The 23,827-nt window shown below is 44.0% G+C and overlaps 1 protein-coding gene across 12 annotated transcripts in view, besides 1 other annotated feature; it reads left to right on the top strand.

Annotated features, from left to right (window-relative positions):
• The window catches only part of SMG6 (SMG6 nonsense mediated mRNA decay factor), a 243,947-nt gene that overhangs the window by 131,719 nt on the left and 88,401 nt on the right, over positions 1 to 23,827 (top strand). The gene's annotated exons all lie outside the window — the stretch shown is intronic.
• Positions 6,078 to 6,372: an enhancer, noted in NCBI's record as "tiled region #9675; HepG2 Activating non-DNase unmatched - State 15:Elon, and K562 Activating non-DNase unmatched - State 23:Low". NCBI's record gives its function as "activates a minimal TATA promoter and a strong SV40 promoter by Sharpr-MPRA in HepG2 and K562 cells {active_cell/tissue: HepG2 | K562}" and the evidence as "EXISTENCE:reporter gene assay evidence [ECO:0000049][PMID:27701403]".

The raw sequence follows: 23,827 nt of genomic DNA, 5'->3' as shown, positions 1-23,827 counted from the left end.
TTGCGCTGTTGGAGACTGTGGAGTTCTTAGTCTCTGCTTATCAGTTGGGTTTTCAGCCAGGTAAAGAGTAGGGGTAGTCCAGTCGGCTTCACATTTCCCACGTGTAATAACAGTTACTAGGCTAGGGAAGTAGTAGCCACCGAGCTTGGGAGCGAAGTGCTGTGTGGAGGCAGGAATACCCTGTGACTGACTTCTCTGCAGAGTAGTGAGGATCACATCCCCTGGGGACAGGCCTTTGGGGAGGCTCCACAAATGTCTTCTCAGGAGGAAGTCTTTTGACCTACATGAAGTATATACTAGGGACATAGGGAGATGTTAAAAAAAAAAAAAAAAAGTAAAAATTCCAAACATGAGCCACAAATATGAGAGACTTTATGTAGAATATAAAGTCTTGGCCCGTTGCAGTGGCTCACACCTTTAATCCCAGCACTTTGAGAAGCGGAGACGGGCGGATCGCTTGAGCCCAGGAGTTTGAGACCATCCCTGGCAACATGAGAAACCTGTCTCTACAAGCAAACAAGCAAACAAACAGTTTTTAGTATAAAAGAGTATTTGTTCACTGTGGAAAATCTGGAAAACACACACAAATAAAAAGAGGAAAAATTATCCGTAATCCTTCTTTCTACCCAGAAGTGAGAGCACTGTTATTTTGCTGATCATATATAATCGTATTTAATTTATAGTACACACACACACACACACACACACACTCTTTCATTTTCAATAAAACTGGAGGTTATATTAATATTTATATATACTATTTGTTTTTATTTTATTTTATTATTATTATTTTTAGATAGAGTCTCACTCTGTTGCCCAGGCTGGAGTATGGTGGCACAATCTCAGCTCACTGCAACCTCTGCCTCCCAGGCTCAAGTGATCCTCCTACCTCACCCTCCCACATAGCTAGGACTACAGGCACCCACCTTCATACCTAGCTAATTTTTGTATTTTTTATAGAGATGGGGTTTCACCATGTTGCCAGGCTGGTCTCAAACTACTGAACTCAAGTGATTTACCTGCCTCAGTCTCCCAAAGTGCTGGGATTATAGGTCTGCGCTAACATGCCCAGCTGTATATACTGTTTGTAATCTGCTTTTTTCCTAACATTTTTAATATATTCTTATATGGAATCATTTTTATAGTTACCCAGAATTCTTTTATATTCCAAGATTTCTTTAACCAATCTTTGCTTTATTGAACCAAGAGAATGTTCCCAATTTTTTTACAGTTATGAATAGTGTATCAATTTCTTGTAGCAGAATTTGAGCATATATTCCCTTTGGTTAAATTGCTGTAAGTAGATTAAGGTTCTAGACATTGATATATCAAAAACTCATACTCTTTGGATGCACTTAATGGCTACTACATCTTGGGAATCAGAGAACCCTTCTTTCCCAAGAGGAATACTTACTTTTTGCCTTTCCAACAAAAACGTAGAGTGAAATTCTGCTCTTCTAGTCTCAGAATGGGAAAATAATGGGGATTTGTAGTATGTGAGGCTGAGGACAGCTAACAAGTTGTTTTATACATGTGGAAGATGTTGAGTTAGAAGAGAGACTGGATGACATGGCTTGGGCCAGAGGATCCCCATACTTTTCTTTGGTGATCACAAGGTGGTCTTGATTCCAGAGGATGCTTTGGGGAGTTCGCTATTGAAGCTGTCTTTTAGTGTGGGACAGGTGCTGAGTAGAAGAGTCCTAACGAGCTTCAGACTCTTCCTACGCCCCATCTTCATCAGCTCTCTCAGCTCTAGTGTCAGATACCACGTATGTGTTTTGGCTCGAGGAGAACACAGAGCCAGCAGACCAGCCCTCAGCCTATGTAGTGATCCACAGGCTACCTAGGGGGCAGTGGCGGCTCAGTGAGACTAAGGTAGGTCTCCACTTCAACGACTGTGAAATAGGTATGTCAAACCTAACATGTCCAAATCCAAACTCCTGAATCCTGCCCCACCCGCTGCCCGCCAACCTGGTCTTCCTTTACCCTTCCCCATCTTGGTAAATGGCAGCCTTGATTTTTGGGCTGCTTGTGTCAAAATGCTTGGGGTTATTCTTGGCACTTCTTTGTCACACTTCCATATCTAATCCATCAGCAGGTAATGTCTTCTTTACCTTCAAAACACACACAGATACAATTCTGTCTTCCCACTGCACCCTGGTTCAGTTCTCTGAAATGCCTTCTGACTGGTTGCTCTGGTTCCTTCCCCCTTCTACTCTTCAGTCTATTTTTAAAATATCAGTGAGATCATGTCATTTCTTAGTTCAAAACCTTCTGATGGTTGCTCCTCTCACTTAGAGGCCAAAGTTTTCACAGTGGCCTACGATGCCCTCCATTATGTGACCCCACCTTCATCCCACTCCCAAGCTCTCTGACCTCAGGTCCTCCTACTGTCCTTCAACCCAGTGTGCTCTAGTCACATTGACATCCTTGCTGTTCCTCAAACAAACCAAGCGCTCATGCCTCAGGGTCTTTGCAGTTGCTCTTTTCTTAACCGGAAACACTCTGTACTCGGCTGTGTGCCTCTCGCACTCCCTTCTATCACCTTGGTAAAGAGAGCTTCCCTGGCCACATCATATAATCATATAAAGTGGTACTCTGCTTTATTATTCTCCATCCACGGCAGGGGAAAATAACATCTCCTGAGTATCTATCATGTATCAGTCCCTGAGCTAGGTACTTCTGTACAGTATTTCGTTAAGTTCTCTAAATAAGCCTGCCATGTAAGTATTATTACCTCCTTTTTTTTTTTTTTAAGAGATGAGTCTCACTTTGTCACCCAGGCTGGAGTAAGTGGCACTATCATAACTCACTGCCACCTCAAATTCCTGCGCACAAGCAATCCTCCCGCCTCTGCGGGACCTCTTTCTCCCGGGTTCAAGCGATTCTGTTGCCTCAGCCTCCCGAGTAGCTGGGATTACAGGCACGCCACCATGACCAGCTAAATTTTTTGTATTTTGAGTAGCTGGGACTATAGGCATGTGCCACCATGCCTGGCTGATTAAAAAAAAAAAAAGTTTTGGCTGGGCATGGTGGCTCATGCCTGTAATCCCAGCACTTTGGGAGGCCGAGGCAGGCGGATCACGAGGTCAGGAGTCTGAGACCAGCCTGGCCAACATTGTGAAACCCCGTCTCTACTAAAAATAGAAAAAGTAGCCAGGTGTGGTGGCGGGCCGTGTAATCCCAGCTACTCGGGAGGCTGAGACAGGAGAATTGCTTGAACCCAGAAGGTAGAGGTTGCAGTGAGCCAAGATCGTGCCACTGCACTCTAGCCTGGGTGACAGAGCAAGACTCCGTCTCAAAAACAAAACAAAACAACACAAAACAAAAAAAACTTTTTTTGTTGTTTTTTAATAGAGACGGGGTCTCACCATCTTGCCCAGGCTAGGCTCAAGTGATCCTCCTGCCTCGGCCTCCTAAAGTGCTGGGATTATAGGTGTGAGCCACACCCTTCAAATTTTGTAAAAGAGGATACTGAGGCTCAAGAGAAAAGAATGATGATAAGCTCACATGGGTCATTTCCATGGCCAACCTAGGAGTTGAATCTTTAGGAACTCTTGACCTTTTAGAAATCTGCAAAAGCAGACCTAGCGTGATGGCTCACGCCTGTAATCCCAACACTCTGGGAGGCTGAGGCGGGTGGATCACTTGAGGCTAGGAGTTCGAGACCAGCTTGGCCAACATAGTGAAATCCCGTCTCTACTAAATTAGCCAGGCATGGTGGTAGGCACCTGTAATCCCAGCTACTCGGGAGGCTGAGGCATGAGAATTGCTTGAGCCTGGGAGGTGGAGTTGCAGTGAGCTGAAATTGTGCCACTGTACTCCAGCCTGGGTGACAGAGTGAGACTCTGTCTCAAAAAATAAATAAATAAAATTTTTTTAAAAAAAACCTGCAAAAGGGCCAGGCATGGTGGCTCACACCAGTAATCCCAATATTCTGGAAGGCCAAAGTGGGAGGAGCACTTGAGACCAGGATCTCTAAACCAGCCTGGGTGACATAGTGAGGCCTTGTCCCTACAAACAAGTTTAAAAACAGCCAGGTGTGGTGGCAAGCGCCTGTAGTCCCAGCTACTCAGGAGCCTGAGGCAGGAGAACTTTTTAAGTGCAGGGGTTTGGTGCTCATTATGATTGCGCCACTGCACTGCAGCCTGGGTCTCAGAGCAAGACCCCGTCTGAAAAAAAAGAAAGAAAAAGGAAATTTGAAAAATATAAACATTTCCTCCAGCTTCTAGTGTTCATTACTAGGAAATGTAAAACATATCTCCAGTGCTCATCAGTGGCAGCAACGTGAGCAGCTTTATTGCTGGTCGAGATTAGTCTCATGTTTGGTCCTGCCTTGATGCTTATTCTGCAGATACTTACGAAACACGTATTGCCAACACAGCCTGGGAGATCCAGACACATAAGGCAGGTATCTTCCTAGTTCGAGAGACAGTTTGTGCCATATATAAAGATGTGAGTGGCACCATAAGTGAATTTGAAGAGTTCTTGAGTTTTGTTGAGCTGGTAATACCCCGGTGAAGGCGTGCTTCAAGAGCACTGATTTGGCATTAACGTAATCATTGTATCTTTGAAGCAGAAAAGTTTTCACCTTATATGCCTTTGAGTGCAAATACTCTCTTTGTTCTATTCTTTTCTTCAGTAATTTCTGCTGTCCTGATACATTAGATCTCCATTCTTTGTCCTATATGTCACTTTTTCTGTCATCACTTTAATCTGTTTTTGCTTTTCTTCTGCATTCTAGGAAGGTTTCTCAAGTTTGTCATCTTGATATATTTTTATAGCATTGATTCTACTCTTTACTACTTCTAGTTCAGGTTTTAAGTCTTCTATTGCATTATTTGTTCTCTTACATTATATCTTATAACCTTTATTTTTTTTGCCTGCCTTTTAGTCAGTCCCTTTATATCTTTTTTTTTTTTTTTTTTTTTTTTTGAGATGGAGTCCTACTCTGTCGCCCAGGCTGGAGTGCAGTGGTGTGATCTCGGCTCACTGCACCCCCTCTGCCTCCCAAGTTCAAACGATTCTCTTGCCTCAGCCCCCCGCGTAGCTGGGATTACAGGGGCACGCGCTGCCACAAGTAGCTAATTTTTTTGTATTTTTAGTAGAGACGGGGTTTTGCCATATTGGCCAGGCTGGTCTCGAACTCCTGACCTCAAGGTGATCTGCCCGCCTCAGCCTCCCAGAGTGCTAGGATTACAGGCATGAGCCACTGTGCCTGGCCTCAGTCCCCTTATATCTGTCTTTGCTTTTTCATTTTTCATTTAGCATACTTCACAGAGTCTATAATTTGAAGAATTCAGTTGAAGGTCAGGAGCAGTGGCCCATGCCTGTCATCCCAGCACTTTAGGAAGTCAAGGCAGACAGATCACTTGAGCCCAGGGGTTTGAGACCAGCTTGGGCAACATGGCAAAAACCTGTCCCTACAAAAAACATAAAAATTAGCCAGGGTTGATGGTATTACACCTGTAGTTCCAGCTAATCAGGTGGCTGAGGTGGAAGAATTACTTCAGCCCTGGCCGTCTAGGCTGCAGTGAGCTGTGATTGTGCCACCATACTCCAGCCCGAGGGACAGAGCAAGACCTTGTCTTTAAAAATAAATTCAATTGAAAGAATATAGCAGATAGTACCTTCTTTTTCATTTGGCATTTTTTCCCCCAAAATATAATTTGTTTCTCTATTTGCGTGCTACATTCTCCTTTTTATTAATATATTGCAGATTATTTTCTTAGACCTCAGCTCTAGTTTCTACGATTTGATGCTGGTCACTTACATTTCTTTGAACAGATTAGGTAGATTCTCACTGGATACCTTCTTTGTCTACAGTAGTTTTTTGTTGTTGTTGTTGTTTTGGAGATGGAGTCTGGCTCTGTCTCCCAAGCTGGAGTGCAGTGGCGTGACCCCCCGGCTCACTGCATCCTCCACCTATCAAGTTCAAGTGATTCTCCTGCCTCAGCCTCCCGAGTAGCTGTGATTTCAGGCACCTGCCACCACGCCCAGTTAATTTTTGTATTTTTAGTAGAGACGGGGTTTTGCTATGTCGGCCAGGCTGGTCTCAGACTCCTGACATCAAGTGATCCGCCCACCTCGGCCTCCCTAAGTGCTGGGATTGCAGGCCTGAGTCACCGCGCCCGTCCATTTTGTTTGTTTCTTTGTGTTTTTGAGACAGTGTCTCACTCTGTCACCCAGAATGGAATGCAGTGGTGTGATCATAGCTCACTGCAGTCTCGACCTCCTGGGTTAAAGCGATCCTCCCCCCTCAGCCTCCTGAGTAGCTGGGACTACAGGCAAGCGTCACCTCACCTGGCTAATTATTTTTACTTTTTTATTAGAGGCAAGGCCTCCCTGTGTTGCCCAGGATGGTCTCAAACTCCTGAGCTCAAGTGATCCTCCCGCCTTGGCCTCCCAGAGTGACCCACAGATAATAGGTGAAATCCCTTGCTCAAGTATAGAGTTTGTACACATTGAATATCCCTAGTCCAAAAATCTGAAATACAAAAGACTCTAAAATCCAAAGCTTGATTTCAGATTTTCCAATTAGGGATGCTCAACCAGTAAGGATAAAGTGCAAATATTCCAAAATCTGAAACACTTCTGGTCCCAGGCATTTTGGATAAAGAATAAGCTATATTAGCAAGTCATTAACCTCAAGGGAGTGGGAAGGGGACCAAGTGGTGTGCAATGTCAATAAATGAATTTATTTTCTACATTTTCTGTTCTGTATACAGTGGAGCTGCTGTATCAGAGCTATCGCTCATGTCTAGTTTTCAGTTTTTTTTTTTTCAGTCTCTTTCATATAAATGATACTGCAGTGTCCTGTCACCTTCTTGGAGCTACCATGTGAAGAAGAAATTCTGTCATTGGGCCACTTTCCATTTAGTATGGGAATTTGCCTTAGACCTCTCTGAACTGCTGAAGCATTGCGAATGGTACTGATTCGTAGCAGTGAGAAAGCTTCCAAGTGGTGGTCTGTGTCTACCTCATGAGCTGTCGTAACCCTTTGTGGTAGGCAAAGTAACACCCCCACCCCAAAGAGGTTTATGTCTTCAATCTCTAAAACCTGTTACATGTTACCTTACGTGACAAAAAGACCTTTGCAGATGTCATCAAGGATTTTTTTTTTTTTCCTTGAGATGGAGTCTCGCTCTGTCGCCCACGCTGGAGTACAGTGGTTTAGTCTTGGCTCACTGTAACCTCTGCCTCCCAGGTTCAAGTAATTCTCCTGCCTCAGCCTCCGGAGTAGCTGGGACTACAGGCACGCGTCACCACGCCTGGCTAATTTTTGTGTTTTTAGTAGAGATGGGGTTTTGCCATGTTAGCCAGGCTGGTCTCAAACGCCTGACCTCAGGTGATCCACCTGCCTCAGCCTCCCAAAGTGCTGGGATTACAGGCATGAGCCACCGTTCCCGGCTGGTTGTTTTTTTATTTGTTTGTTTTTGTTTTTTCTTTGAGACGGGGAGTCTCACTCTCTTACTCTGTCACTCAGGCTGGAGTGCAGTGGCGCGATCTCGGCACGCTGCAACCTCCACCTCCTGGGTTCAAGTGATGATCCTGCCTCAGTCTCCCTAGTAGCTGGGATTACAAGTGCATGCCACCACGCCCGGCTAAGTTTTGTTGTTGTTTGCATTGTCATTGTTGTTTTCTGAGACAGCGTTTTGCTCTATTGCCCAGGCTGGAGTGCAGTAGCATGATCTTGGCTCACTGCAACCTCTGTCTCCCGGGTTTAAGCGATTCTCCTGCCTCAGCCTCTTGAGTAGCTGGGACTACAAGCACCTGCCACCATGCCCGGCTAATTTTTGTATTTTTAGTAGAGATGGGGTTTCACCATGTTGGCCAAGCTGGTCTCAAACTCCTGACCTCAAGTGATTTGCCCGCCTCCACCTCAGCCTCCCAAAGTGCTGGGATTACAGGTGTGAGCCACTGTGCCCCTCTCTGGCTAAGTTTTTATATTTTTGTACTTTTAGTACAATAGGGTTTCACCCTGTCATTGTCGTCCTTGTTTTCTGAGACAGAGTTTTTCTCTGTCGCCCAGGCTGGAGTGCAGTAACGTGATCTAGACCCACTGCAACCTCCGTCTTCTTGGTTCAAGCGATTCTCCTGCCTCAGCCTCTTGAGTAGCTGGGACTACAAGCACCTGCCACCACACCGGCTAATTTTTGTATTTTTAGTGGAGATGAGGTTTCACCCTGTTGCCCAGGCTGGTCGCGAACTCCTGACCTCAAGTGATCTGCTGCCCTCAGCCTTAGAGAATAAACAACTACATAACCACCAAGCAAGCAGCTCAAGAAACAGAATAAGATAAGGGCGGTGAGTTACCAGTTCCATTCAGTCTGTGTTGGTCCTAGTCAGTACAGTAAGACGTGAAAAAAAAAAAAATGAAGTATTAATAAGACTGTTGGAAGGGAAAAAATAAAGCTGTTTTTATTTGTAGATAATAACATGATACATTTAGAAAATCCCCAAAAAGCATAAATTATTAGAATTATTCTCATAATAAGTAAATGTAGCAAAGTTGCTGGATATGAAGCCATTGTACAAAAATCAATCCCATATCTACATATTAGAATCAAACAAAATGAAGATTTGGTGCCTGGCACAGTGGCTCGCACCTCTAATCACAGCACTTTGGGAGGCCAAGGTGGGAGGATCACCTGAGCCCAGGAGTTCGAGACCAGCCTGGGAAACACAGCATCTCTACTAAAAATTTAAAAAATCAGCTGGGCTTGGTGGCCTCCGTCTGTGGTCCTAGCTACTTGAGAGGTTGAGGTGGGTGAATCACTTGAGCCCAGGAGGTCGAGGCTGTAGTGAGCTGTGATCATACCACTGCATTCCAGCCTGAGTGACAGAGCAAGACCCTGTCTAAAAAATAAATAAAATAATCTTTGTATTACAAAATAAATGTTCATTTAGAAATACTTTACAAATTAAGATTAGCAGCCAGGCATGTTGGCTCACACCTGTAACGCCAGTACTTCAGGAGGCTGAGGCAGGAGGATCGCTTGAGCCCAGGAGTTCAAGACCAGCCTGGGCAATATAATGAGACCTTGTCTCTATAAAAAATTAAAAAATCAGTCAGGTGTGGTGGTGTGCATCTGTAGTCCCAGCTACTTGAGAGGCTGAGGTGGGAGGATCACTTGAACCAAGGAGGCAGAGGTTGTACTCAGCCTAGATTGCACCACTGCACTCCAGCCTGGGCCACAGAGGGAGACCCTTTCTCAAAAAAAGAGAGGAAAATCAAGATTAGCAATACGGAAAAGAAAAGATTTTCTTGATCCACTACCCAGAGATAACTACTGTTTCTTGTTCCATGTTGCTGCATATGTTCCAACCTAGAAGGATGGCTGATAGGTAGATGGATGACTGGATATAAGTGAAGTTTTTTGGTTATTTGTTTATTTATTAGAGACAGGATCTCAGCTGTGTTCCTCAGGCTGGTCTTGAACTCCTGGCTTCAAGCAGTATTCCCGCCTCAGCTTCCTGAATAGCTGGGATTGCAGGTACAAACCACCATGTCCAGCACTGATTTTTTTTTTTTTTTTTTTTTTTTTTCTGAGATGGGGAGTCTCACTCTGTCGCCCAGGCTGGAGTGCAGTGGTGCAATCTGGGCTTATTGCAAGCTCCACCTCCTGGGTTCACACCATTCTCCTGCCTCAGCCTCCCGAGTAGCTGGGACTATAGGCGCCCACCACCACGCCTGGCTAATTTTTTTTATATTTTTAGTAGAGACGGGGTTTCACCATGTTAGCCAGGATGGTCTCGATCTCCTGACCTCGTGATCTGGCCGCCTCGGCCTCCCAAAGTGCTGGGATTACAGGCGTGAGCCACCTCGCCTGGCCAATTTTTGCTTTTTAACAGAAATAGAATCAAACTTTATGTTTTGTTTTGTAATGTACTTTGTTCACTTAGCAATAAATATATATTTCCATGTTTACCTATAACATGAATTTAAGAGCTGCACAATATTGTATGAATATATTATAATATTTGTTTAGTCCTCAATCATTAGATGTTTTATAGGAAGTTATTGACTTTTATCTGTTGTATAAACGATGCCATCTCAGGGAGCCTTACACATAAGTCTTTTGTTCTTACCCTTTGAGATAGTTTCTCCTTCTTAGACCTCCCTCTCTATCATTTCATAGATATTTAAAGGGACTCAGAATAGTTCCCGAGGATAAACAAAGAAGGAAAGGTTCATATGAGTGGAATAGAATGCTCAGACTGAATTTATCAGCATCTTTCCCTCTGGATTGAATGTTCTTCAAATCTTGGAATGCCCTGGATTCAAAAGCACCTCAAAGTCTAGAATTTGAGTCTTTGAAGAGAGAATTTGATTTTTTTTTTTTTTAGACAAATCCTTGAGACTTGAGAGTGCTCTGAGTGGTACTAAATGTATGTAGTCTTATCTACATCATTTAGGAGGTGTGTTCAAGGGCAAAAATATAAGAGTAGTGGCAGTGCAATGTCTGAGGACCAGAAGATCAGGACAATGTCCTGGACTCCAAACTTTGGAGGCAAGATTGCTTATAGATGAACAGTAATTAATGATGATGACTGGTATATGAAAACCTGAAGATTAGTGAGCCGAGGTCGCACCATTGCACTCCAGCCCGGGTGACAGTGTGTGAGACTCTGTCTCAAAAAAAAAAATAAATAAATAAAGGCCGGGATTGGTGGCTCATGCCTGTAATCCTAGCACTTTGAGAGGCCGAGGCAGGCTGATCAACCTGAGGTCGGGAGTTTGAGAACAGTCTGGCCAACATGATGAAACCCCATCTCTACTAAAAGTACAAAATTAGCCAGGCTTGGTGATGCACGCCTGTAATCCCAGCTACTCGGGAGGCTGAGGCAGAATTGCTTGAACCCAGGAGGCAGAGGTTGCAGTGAGCCAAGATCGCGCCCCTGCACTCCAGCCTGGGCAACCAGAGCAAAACTCCATCTCTAAAAAAAAAAAAAAAAAAGGGTCAGTTATGTGAGCATGCCTACCTGCCTAGCCTTCCTACCTACCTACCTACATACATACATACAACCTTTGTCTCAAGACTTAATAAATATAAAATTAAAATTGGTTAAGAGGAGAATGTATGATAGAAAAAGAAACTTTGATTTAAACTTCTGCCCTGGTACTTTTTGTCTCACCCTTTTTAGTTTTCTTTACTAATATAATATCATATATGTAAAAGAATATATATTTTTACTTCATAATTATATTTACTTTTATTTTATTTATTTTTTTGAGACAGGGTCTTGCCCTGTTGTCCAGGGTGGAGGGCAGTGATACAATCATGGCTCACTGCAGCCTTGACTTCCCAGGCTCAAGCAATCCTCCCACCTCAGTCCCTTGAGTAGCTGGGGACTATAGGCGCACGCCATCACACCTGGCTAATTTTTAAATTTTTTGTGGAAACGGGGTCCCACTATGTTGCCTGGGCTGGCCTTGAACTCCTAGGTTTAGGTGATCCTCCTGCCTTGGCATCCTAAAGTGCTGGAATTACAGGCATGAGCCACTGTACCCAGCCCATAATTTTAGATATTCAAAACAATTGAAGGCCAGGCGCGGTGGCTCATGCCTGTAATCCCAGCACTTTGGGAGGCCGAGGCAGGCGGTTCACCAGAGGTCAGGGGTTCGAGACTAGCCTGGGCAGTATGGTGAAACCCTGTCTCTACTAAAAATACAAAAATTAACCAGGTTTGGTTGTGCACCCTGTAATCCCAGCTACTTGGGAGGCTGAGGCACAAGAATCACTTGAACCCAGGAGGCGGAGGCTGCAGTGAGCTGAGATTGCACCACTGCACTCCAGCCTGGGCAATAGAGTGAGATCTGTCTCAAAAAAATTAATTAAAAATAAATTTATAGTTAATACCTTTACTTCATTAATCAACTTACTAATATATATTTACATACAATGAAAGGTATACATTTGAATGTATGGGTGTATATATACCCGTATCAAGATACAGAATATTTATATATTCTGCATAAGGACCACTTCAATCAAGGTATAGAATATTTCCTTCTCCACAAAATGTTCCCAAGTGCCTCTATCCCCCATCCTACTCCCTGCCCCAGGCAGCTACTGATCTAATTATTCTCACTATAGATTAGATTTGCCTGTTATAAAATTTCATATACATGGAATCATATAGTATATACTCTTATGTCTTTGTTTTGTCACTCAGCATAACGTCTGAGATTCATCCATATTGGGCATTATATTTTTTCAGTCGTTTATTGATGAGTAGTATTCCATTGTATGGATATATCACAGTTTATCCATTCACTTGTTGATAGATATTTTGGCTGTTTTTATTTTGGAGGGGTTATGAAAAAGATACTGTGAACATTAATGTACAGGTTTTTTTGTGGTCATATATTTTCATTTCTCTTGGATAAATATCCAGGAGTAGAATTGCTTAGTCATTTAAGTATATATCTAACTTTAAAAGAAGCTTCCAAACTTTTTTGAAGTGATTACACCCTTTTATACTCCCACTAGCAATATGTGAGCGTTCTAGTTGCTCATATTCTTGCCAACACTTGGTATTTCTGATCTTTATAGTTTTAGACATGCTAGTAAGTGTGAAGTAGTATCTCATTTTGGTTTTATGTTTTTGGAGGGTTTTTTTGTTTGTTTGTTTGAGACAGAGTCTCGCTGTCACCCACACTGGAGTGTAGTGGCGTGATCTCAGCTCACTGCAGCCTCCGTCTCCTGGGTTAAAGCAATTCTCCTACCTCAGCCTCTCAAGTAGCTGGGATTACAGCTGTAGCATGCCACCACACACCCACCTAATTTTTTTACATATTTTTAGCAGAGACAGGGTTTCACCATGTTGGCCAGACTGGTCTCGAACTTCTGACCTCAAATGATCCACCCGCCTCGGCCTCCCAAAGTGCTGAGATTACAGGCGTGAGCCACTGTGCCTGGCCATAGTTTTAATAGTCATTTTCCTGAATAATGATGAGCATCTTTTTATGAGTTTACTGACAATTATTATATCCTCATTTGGGAAATGTTCTAATCTGTTGGCCATTTTTAAACATTGGGGTGTTTTCTTATTGAGTTATAAGAGTTCTTCAAATATTCTTGACACAAATACTTGTCAGATATACATCCTGTGAATATTTCTCGTGGTCTGTGACTGGTTTGCCTTTTTTTTTTTTTTTTAAACATAGTCTTGAACAGCAAACTTTTTTTTTTTTTTTTTGAAACAGGGTCTTGCTCTGTTTCCCAAGGGATCCTCCCACCTTAGCCTCCCCAGTAGCTGGGACTATGGGTGCACGCCACCACACCTGTCTAATTTTTGTAATTTTCGTAGAGCCATGGTTTCGCCATGTTGCCCAGGCTGGTCTCAACTCCTGATCTCCAGCGATCTACCTGCCTTAGCCTCCCAAAGTGCTGGGATTATAGGCATGAGCCACGGCGCTTAGCCTTCCGGTGGAATTTTGACTACACAGTAGGGACTTCCACTTTTAACTGTTTCAAATACTCTAGAATTGCCATCATTTAGGACAAAGGCTTTTGAAGGTTTGATGTTTTCGTGGGCTATTTTTTGTGATATCATTATTGTCAGTGACAGGAAAAATGAATCTTTAGCTGCCTAAGAGTGAATTCAAGTGTTTCTTAACTACCAGTAAACTCAGAAATAACCAGATGAAATAATATAAAACCTCATTTGTAGTGAATGCTTATCTAGCAATACTTTTTTTTTTCTTTTTTGGCTCATGCATACACCCCTCTCTAAAGTGAAGAGAATAATGATAAACTGTTCTTAATTCTAGAATGCAGAGGAAAACGTGGTTTGCATATGTGCAGCAAAAAACTTTGGAAGATTGAAATTGCACAATGAGTGTAGGTTGAGCAATGGCTTCAGAAGGCATACATGTTCCGTGGGGGTGTCCTTTGCTCTTGTGCAATTAGGGAACTCCAGAGCTGCCTGAACAGGGGATTTCCTTTTTATTTCTCACATGCCATTTAAAAAATTAACTTCTTCCCTTCTTTTCAATGTTCACCCCTTTTTATTACTCCCTTAAATTCTTACTTGTGGTTTCTTTTCTTTTAAGGAATTACTCAAACATTTATGTGTCCCACTCCTGTGACTTTGGTTAGAAATGCACCTGGGCCAGGTTCTACTGGTGGTGGGAGGAGAGCTTGCTGATGGTTTAGGGATTTCTAATTCAGCTTCTTGTCGCCATTGCAATACCCAGCTGGTTCTAAGCATTTGAAATACAGGTTACAAATCAGCCAGCATTCCCTGATTGCTTAGTACTAGAATTTTGCAGACTTTGTAATGAGTGTTCTGAGGTTTTTGCCTGTTTTGGTTTTATTGGTGACCAACACCTCCTGATGAAGATCATTTGCAGACTTTACTACAAAGTTAAGCCTAACTTTAAGCTGAAAGCATGAGAGCCAAACAGTAAGATCCAAAGCTAGACAGGATTGGTTTTGGCAAAAGGAAAGTCCATGCTTTCTGCCTTCTTCCCTTTGGCCTGCTCAGTCATACTCATGTTGGGTGGTACTTAGTAAGCATGCTTCTAATTGTGGTTCCCTTCCACTTACCTTTGTGATAGGGGTACCAAAATCTGTTTACCCTCATCTTTGCTCTCTTCCAGAGGAACAGGAGAGGTAGTTGGGTCAGTGTGCCAGAAAAGCAGAAGTTGAGTATGTGGAGTTCATAGCTGCATGTATGAGTGTTTGTGGGGCAGGGAACTTTTAATGGAAAACATTTGTGTTGCATCGAAAACAGAGCGAGGCCTGGTTAGAGTCTGTCTGCTTTGTCTGTCAGTCTGTTCCCTACCAGCACTAGTCACTGTTCTCCTGGGAGTCTCAGGCATATTGTGGTTTCTTCTGCTCTTGCTAGCCCCTAATCTTGCCAGAGTTTTTGTGTCATGGGTGGCCCCGTGTGCAGTCTGGAGTAAGACTGCAAGGTTGGTGACTAATGGCTTTGAAGAAGGTACTTCAGCCCACATACGGACTTTGGGAACCTTTTTAGGTTAACCCTTAGGAGGAGGGAGGGTCTCTAGCACAAACAGTGGAAGAAACATGCTGAGATACATACAAACACTTTTTTAAACCCTTCCCTTACTGTTAGCAAAGCATGAACTAGAAGAATGGAGACACACCCGGTGACACCATGCCTGTAATCCCAGCACTTTGGGAAGCTAAAGCGGGAGGATCGCTCGAGCCCAGAAGTTCGAGACCAGTCTGGGCAACATAGTGAGACCTTGTCACCACAAAAAAATAAAAATTAGCCAGGCATGGCGTTGCATGCTTGTAGTCCCAGCTACTTGGAGGCTGAAGTGGGAGGATTGCTTGAGCCTGGAAGGTCGAGGCTACAGTGAGCAGTGATCGTGCCACTGCACTGTAGCCTGGGTTACACAGCAAGACCCTGTCTCAAAAAACAAACAAGCAAAAAAAAACAAAACAGAGACAGGAGGGAAAGGCTTGCTGTTTGGGCTTGGCATTTCATTTGTAAATGCTCATAAGGGATGCACCTGGGTGCCCAGTCTTGCATCTGACAGGCTGATGTTAGTCAAGTTGTGTGTGGCTGGATCTCTTTGGGAAATAACAGAAGAAAAGATGCTAATTTCCCTGAGGATAGTGTCACTCTAAGATAGAAGGACCTGTAGTTTGAGCTTTTAACTCTTTTTTTTTTTTTTTTTTTTTTTTTTTTTGAGAAGGAGTGTCTCTCTGTTGCCCAGGGTGAAGTACAGTGGTGCAATCTCAGCTCACTTCATCCTCCACCTCCCGAGTTCAAGCGATTCTCCTGCCTCAGCCTCCGGAGTAGCTGGGGTTACAGGCACCCACTGACCACGCCCGGCTAATTTTTTTTGTATTTTTAGTAGAGACAGAGTTTCATTATGTTGCCCAGGATGGTCTCGAACTCCTGACCTCAAATGATCTGCCCACCTCAGCTTCCCGAAGTGCTGGGATTACAGGCGTGAACCACGGCACCCGGCCTGAGCTCTATCTAATCTGAGTGCCCCTGAAATTGACATTTGTTCATTATTTTAAAAAAAAAAAAAAAAAGGTAAAGAAAACAGTAAAAGAGCAGCTCAGCTCAGTTTTCTGGGTCCCCAAGAAGGTACCCTACCAATGTGGTTTTCACATTTTCAGGTTTTTGGCTGGTGAATAAGATTGAGCAGAAATGCTTCTTCCCCTGATAACAATACATTCAAATGCAGGATCAGGAGCGTGTGGATTAAAACCAGACGGTGGATGATTAATACTTTTGCTTATAGAGGTAGACATGGCAGCTTCCTCCATTTAAATGAAAAGACCTTTTCTCTGCATTTGTATGTGTGCATATGCTTACATGCTTGTGCCCTTTATGTACAAGCTGCGTTTCTGTACCATTTCCTTCCTCTCTTGAAGCACCCAAAAAGTGCTAGAAGGACTAAGTTGTGAAGCAGAGGCGTGGAGATCAGACACTATGGTAGGAGTGGGATGTGTTCTCTTCTTCAGGCTCACTGCTTTCATAGCTTTCTGGGTACTGCTGTAACACACATCTTTTTCCATGGAACCTACTTGCTCCTTATGGTCATGTAACCTCATTATAAGAGGCATACTTTTTCATTTAATCTGCTATATCTTTGGAGGTGGCTATCCTCATCATTTTATTGTTAATGACATGAAGAGAAACTTTATTTTCACATGGATACTTTATGTTTTTTCCCTTACCCACTGAAAACATGACAGATTTCTTGGTTCATTCGCCGTGGCTCACGCCTATAATCCCAGCACTTTGGAAAGCTGAGGCGGGCAGATCACCTGAGGTCAGGAGCTTGAGACCAGCCTGACCAACATGGTGAAACCCTGTCTCTACTAAAAATACAAAAAGTAGCCGGGCATGGTGGCGCACACCTGTAATCCCAGTAATCCCAGCTGCTAGGGGTGCTAAGGCAGGAGAATCACTTGAACCAGCAAGGTGGAGGTTGCAGTGAGCTGAGATCCCACCACTGCACTCCAGCCTGGGTGATGGAGTGAGACTCCATCTCAAAAAAAAAAAAAAATTTTTTTTCTCAGAGTATACTTTGTTTTTTTTGAGACAACATCTTGTTTTGTTGCCAGTGCTGGAATGCAGTGGCTCACTGTGGCCTCAACCTTCTGAGCTCAAGGGATCCTCCCACCTCAGCTTCTGAGTAGCTGGGACCACAGGTACATGCTACCACACCCCGCTAATTTTTGTATTTTTTTGTAGAGATGAGATTTCACCATGTTGCCCAGGCTGGTCTTGAAGTCCTGAGCTCAAGCAGTTCACCCACCTTGGCCTCCCAAAGTGCTGTGATTACAGCCACCATGCTGTCCTTATACTTTTTAATTAGAGGTTAGCAGGTGTTTATTATTAACAATAGTTTCAGTATTCATTTTTATTAAGTTCTGTGCACATTAATCCCTTCCAGCCAGCAGGCCTCTAGTTAGTCTAGGCCTCTGATTTCAGCTTGAATATACACTTTGCTCTTTTGGAGAAACAGAGACCTCTGCCTAAGTGAAACAGGACATGTAAAGGGAGGAGGAATACCAGGCTGAGATTTCATACCTTTGTAATCTCTAAAGAAGGTTGTATTGTCTCTACAACAAGGAAAAAGTTGAAGGACAAAGGGCATAAAATTCTTTTTTTCCAACATAAATCTTTGTCTGTTTTATAGTGTTGTCTGTAATTTCAAGGTGAAAGTGGGCCCTCCCTCAGCCCCGTCACACTCTAGATGCATCCCCAGATTCCCCCCCGTCACCGTCACACTCTACATGCATCCCCAGGTTTCCCAGTCACCGTCACACTCTAGATGCATCCCCAGGTTTCCCAGTCACCGTCACACTCTAGATGCATCCCCAGGTTTCCCAGTCACCGTCACACTCTGCGTGCATCCCCAGGTTCCCCCGTCACCGTCACACTCTACGTGCATCCTCAGGTTTCCCAGTCACCGTCACACTCTACATGCATCCCCAGGTTCCCCAGTCACCGTCACACTCTACATGCATCCCCAGGTTCCCCCAGTCACCGTCACACTCTATATGCATCCCCAGGTTCCCCAGTCACCGTCACACTCTACATGCATCCCCAGGTTTCCCCAGTCACCGTCACACTCTACATGCATCCCCAGGTTCCCCAGTCACCGTCACACTCTACGTGCATCCCCAGGTTCCCCCGTCACCGTCACACTCTACGTGCCTCCCCAGGTTCCCCCGTCACCGCACACTCTACGTGCATCCCCAGGTTTCCCAGTCACCGTCACACTCTACATGCATCCCCAGGTTCCCCCAGTCACCATCACACTCTACGTGCATCCCCAGGTTTCCCAGTCACCGTCACACTCTAGATGCATCCCCAGGTTCCCCCGTCACCGTCACACTCTACATGCATCCCCAGGTTCCCCAGTCACCGTCACACTCTACATGCATCCCCAGGTTCCCCCAGTCACCGTCACACTCTACATGCATCCCCAGGTTCCCCAGTCACCGTCACACTCTACATGCATCCCCAGGTTCCCCCAGTCACCGCGTGGAGTGGCGTTCCACCAGTTTACCCCTGTGCCATAGAGACTCTTAGCAACCAAGATGGGCGGGTTTGCATAAGTTAAAATTCACTCTGTTGTACAGTTTTGAGAAACACATACTTTCATGTAACCATCACTACAATTAAGATATAGACCATTTTCAACACCCCCAAAAATTCCCTCATGCAACCAGCTCCCTTCCCAACCCCAGTCCCTGACAACTTCTGATGTTTTCTGTCTCTGTAACTTAGCTTTTTCCAGAATGACGTATAAATAAAATCATACAGTACATAGAGCAGGGGTGCCAATCTTTTGGCTTCCCTGGGCCACATTGGAAGAATTGTCTTGGGCCACACATAGACTACACTAACACTAACGATAGCTAATAAGCTTTAAAAAAAAGTCTCAAAAAACATCTCATAGTATTTTAAGAAAGTTTATAAATTTGCGTTGGGCTGCGTGGGCCACGGGTTGGATAAGCTTGATATAGAGCTCTTGAGTCTGGCTTCTTTTCGCATAGCGTAATACATTTGAGATTCATGCATGCTGTTGCCTATATCAATCATATGTTCTTTTTTGTTGCAGAGTAGTATTCCATTGTATACATACACTATGATTTGTTTATCCATTCACCAGTTGAACATTTGGGCTATTTGCAGTTTTTGGTGGTCATGGATAGAACTGCTGTAAACATTTGTGCATCAGTCTTTACGTTTCTTAAATGAACTTAGGTTTTCATTTCTCTTGGATAAATACTTAGGAGTGGAACGGGTGGTTTATGTGATAAGAGTATGTTTAACTTCGCTAGAGACCAGCAAACTGTTTTACAAAGTGGCTGCACCGTATTGCACGAGCAGTTCCTGTTCTGGCATCATTATCAGCACTTGATCCTGTCAGTTTGTTTGTTTTTTAATAATTATACTAGGTACCTTGTGATTTTAATTCGCATTTCTCTAATGGCTAATGATGTTGAGCATCTTTTCATATGTTCATTTGTCATCTGTGTATCTTCTTTGGTGAAGTGTCTATTCACATCTTTTGCCTATTGTTAAATCGGATTATTTTCTTACTGAGTCTTGAGAGGTCTTTATATATTTAGGATGCAAATCCTTTGTCAGGTACAAATGCATTGCAGATATTTTCTCTCAGTCTGTGGCTTGTCTTTTCACTTTAGAGACTAAGTTTTGACTGATTAAATGCTGAGAGCTGAAGGGTTCACAGGCTCTCTTAGTAGAGGACCATAAGGAAATTGAGACCTTAGTCAGCAGAAAGTTGTGAGGACCACCCCTTTTGAAGCTGTTTATTTAAAATGAAAGAGGGGGATAAGGGGTGGGCCAAACTGAATTGTCCAGACAGATTTCTGAAGCTTTTTTCAGTTCTTTCTCCTGTCCCCGCCTATGATGTAGCTTCTGGGCTCTTACCTTCAACTGGGTTCCTCACTTCCTGCCATCACTCCAAATTCATCAAGGCCTCTCCGGCTCAGGCCGACTCCAACAGAATACCCGAGAGGTCAGGCCAGCTTCTTGCCCGTAGTATATTCCAGAGTGAAGTCGTTTTTTGATAAGTAATCATTCCCAATTCTAAAGTGATAGCCTCCAAGGAGTCATTGCTTTGAAGAACTCCTTTCATCTCCAGCTGGACTCTTTTCCAAACAACCATCGGCAGAGCCTAGTCAGGGTTCTGACACACAGGGTTCTGCCATGAGAAGCAAATTGGCAGCAGCAGACAGGCCCCCGAGGCAATGGAATTCAGTTCTCAGAACATACTCACCATGGGTCTCTTTCATGTTGTGTGGAATTCTTTCCACTGGGCAGCCGCATAGGTGTAGGGAAAATGTCCTGCCCCATTGGATAAAAGTCAAGAGAAGATACTATGTGGAATCTTGTCACTTTTTAATTGCTGATCCGTGTTAAGATGTTTTTCTTAAGCAGCATTTGCCACTGACTAGACATTAGTAGAGTTTCTTTTTCTTTGTGCATGTGACATGGATCACTAACACTGCATGTGATGGTCAGAGGAGGCCTGCCTTAGTGCTGGAGATCTGACCATTTCTCCAGGACAGTGGAGCCTGGTGAAGGCTCTCTGACTTCTGATCCCAGTTGGAGCAATGTGTTCAGAGAAGAATTTCTGAGCCTTCGTGAATCTCAGTTATTTGCATGTCTTTTTGTAAGCAAACAGCAACTTGTAGGCAGGCTTAAAACTTTCTTTTTCTGCTCATGAAAGTACAGATTTTGCTATAGACAAATCAATTGAATATAAAACTGTAATGTGGAATAATATTTCAGGCTTTAAAAATGGAGGGATGGGTTAAAAAGTTCTGCAATAAATCTGCAAATGTGGAATCTAAGGGAAATGATCCCATCTGGAAAACCCTGCTAGTGGTGCTATGGCTGGTTTGTGGAGCAGTGCAGACTGTGGAGTGAAAAAAGACCCTGTAGTCTTGAAAGATGACAAGCTCCTTAATTGATGTCCATTTCAGCTGGTGCTGTGCCAGCTTATGTTGGCCTCGGTCCAGCGTTCCTGTAATTTGGGAGCCAGGTGTGAAGCATTTTTGTTCCATCTTGTTCCCCAGCATCTACAGAAGCCTCACCCATCTTACTTGAGGCGGCAGCACGCCATAGGAAACAGATGTACAGGTAGAGGTGGAAGGAAGTGTCACAGCTGGGTTACGGATTTTTTTTTTTTTTAATCCTTCACACTCAAGTGAGATCTGGGTTTGAGAGTTGGGGGAAAGGGTATTTCACAGCCTCGGTGTAAGATGTCACTGTCAAGTATCCTAATTAGACCAATACTCATTTGTGATTTTTAAAAACATATCTTATTACCTTAGAGTCATACTTTGTATAGGCAGAGATCTTTTGTGATTTGCCTTTGCCTGACTTCTGGGAACAGCAATATAAAGTGTAATAGGAAGAACATCTCAAGATGGCCATCAGAGTTGAACCTGGTCACTTCCATAGCATCGAGGGCCAGGAGACATAACCACCTAGAGGTGAGCTACCCCTGATGACATGGGGCATAGCTGTGTCCTTTGGGGATCACTTCCATAGCATCGAGGGCCAGGAAGACATAACCACCTAGAGGCGAGCTACCCCTGATGACATGGGGCATAGCTGTGTCCTTTGGGGATGTTGATGAACACAGTAGACAGTGCCAACAGCATCTGTTCAACACATTGGTATTGGGCCCTTGATACTCTAGACCGGTGGTCCCCAACCTTTTTGGCACCAGGAACTGGTTTTGTGGGAGACAGTTTTTCCACAGACAGGGTTAGCAGTGGGTGGTTTCAGGATGAAACTGTTCCACTTGCCATCATCCAGCATTAGTTAGGTTCTCAGAAGGAGCACGCAGGCTAGATTCCTTGCACGTGTGGTTCACAATAGGGTTCGCGCTCCACTCCTGTGAGAATCTAATGCTGCTGCTGACTTGACAGGAGGCGGAGCTCAGGCGGTCTTGCTTGCTTTGACCGCTCTCTTCCTGCTGTGCGGCCCAGTTCCTAACAAGCCATGGACTGGTACCACGGTCCACAACCCCGGGGGCTGGGACCCCTGCTCTAGACTGGATGCAGTTGGGGGAAGAAGGCACTCTGCCAGAATCTAACCTGTCTCCTTTCTAGCCCTCCTGCTAAACTGAACATGAATGAACAGGCAGTTCTGCCTTTTAGGATTACAAAACATGAGCAGGACCCTCCCGGTGGAAACATTAAAGTCCTGTGGACTTAGAACTGAAATGTTGGAATTGGTGCTTTGCCACTGACTTACATTTTGATAGAAGGCAAGTTTTAGCCTCTTAGGACTAAGAGCCAGCTCTGTTTCTTGGAGGGCCCAACCCATAAAAAGACAACTGAAGCAGTCCTTTGTTATTTCTTTCTTCACCTCCATATCTCACACAGACAGAGCTGAGGACAATATTTGGCCTTGCCAGTCAGACCACGATGTCAAGGAGTGCCTACAAGCCCTGCCTAGATTGCTTTTTGCTCCAGGTGTATGGGGGTCACGGGACAGCCCTTCGTTCACTGGTAGCTTTCACCTGTTCTTCCTTGTGTTGTCAATACCAGAAGCTGCAAAATGTCAACTACCAGAAGAGGCAAGAGGGTGAGGAGTTAGGAAGAGAGATTAGTCTTATTCTTTAAGTAATGTTCATTCTATTTTTTTAATTGTGATGAAATATACATAAGATAAAATTTACCATTTTAACCCTTTTTTTTTTTTTTTTTTTTTTTTTGAGGGGGAATCTCGCTCTGTCACCCAGGGTAGAGTGTAGTGGTGTGATCTCGGCTCACTGCAGCCTCTGCCTCCTGGGTTCAAGTGATTCTCCTGCTTCAGCCTCCCGAGTAGCTGGGATTACAGGCATGTGCCACCACGCCCGGCTAATTTTTGTATTTTTTGTAGAGACAGGGTTTCGCCATGTTGGCCAGGCTGGTCTCGAACTCCTGACCTCAAGTGATCCACTCTCCCCGGCCTCCCAAAGTGCTGGGATTATAGGCGTGACCCACTTTGCCCAGCCATTTTAACCAGTTTTTTAAATGTACGGTTCTACAGCATTAAGTACATTCAAACTGTTGTGTAGCCATCACCACAACCATCTCTAGAGCTTTTTCATCTTCACCAACTCAAACACTGTACCCATGAAATAATAAGTCTCCATTCCTCCCTCCCCACAGCCCCTGACAACCATCATTCTATTTACTTTCTCTCTGAATTTTTTTTTTTTTTGAGACAGAGTCTTACTCTGCCTCCCAGGTTGGAGAGCAGTGGTGCCATCTCAGCTCACTGCAACCTCAGTTTTCTGGGTTCAGGCAATTCTCCTGCCTCAGCCTTCTAAGTAGTTGGGATTACAGGTGCCTGCCACCACACCTGGCTAATTTTTGTATTTTTAGTAGAGACGGAGTCTTGGCATGTTGTCCAGGTTGGTCTTGAGCTCCTGGCCTCAAGTGATCCGCCCGCCTTGGCCTCTCAAAGTGTTGGGATTACAAGTATGAGCCATGGTGCCCAGCTTTTCTCTATAAATTTGACTACTCTGTGAACCTCATATAAGTGGAATCATAAAATATTTGTCCTTTTGTGATTGGCTTATTTCACTCAGCATAATGATTTCACGTTTTATCCGTGCCGTAGCACGTGGCAAAAGTTCATTTCTTTTTAATGCTGAATAATATTCTGTTGTATGCATACATCTACCACAATTTGTGTGTCCATTCACCTGTTGATGGACACTTGGGTTGCTTCCACTTTTTGGCTGTTGTGAACGTAAATGTACAAATATCTCTTTGAGATCCTGCTTTCAATTCTTTTGGGTGTATACCCAGAAGTAGAAAGTAGAATTGCTGAATCC

This window comes from Homo sapiens, chromosome 17 (assembly GCF_000001405.40).
Source record: "Homo sapiens chromosome 17, GRCh38.p14 Primary Assembly".
Lineage (NCBI taxonomy): Eukaryota > Metazoa > Chordata > Mammalia > Primates > Hominidae > Homo > Homo sapiens.
The sequence above is the reverse complement of the archived record's forward strand: the minus strand, read 5'-3'. Positions and strand labels throughout refer to the sequence as shown.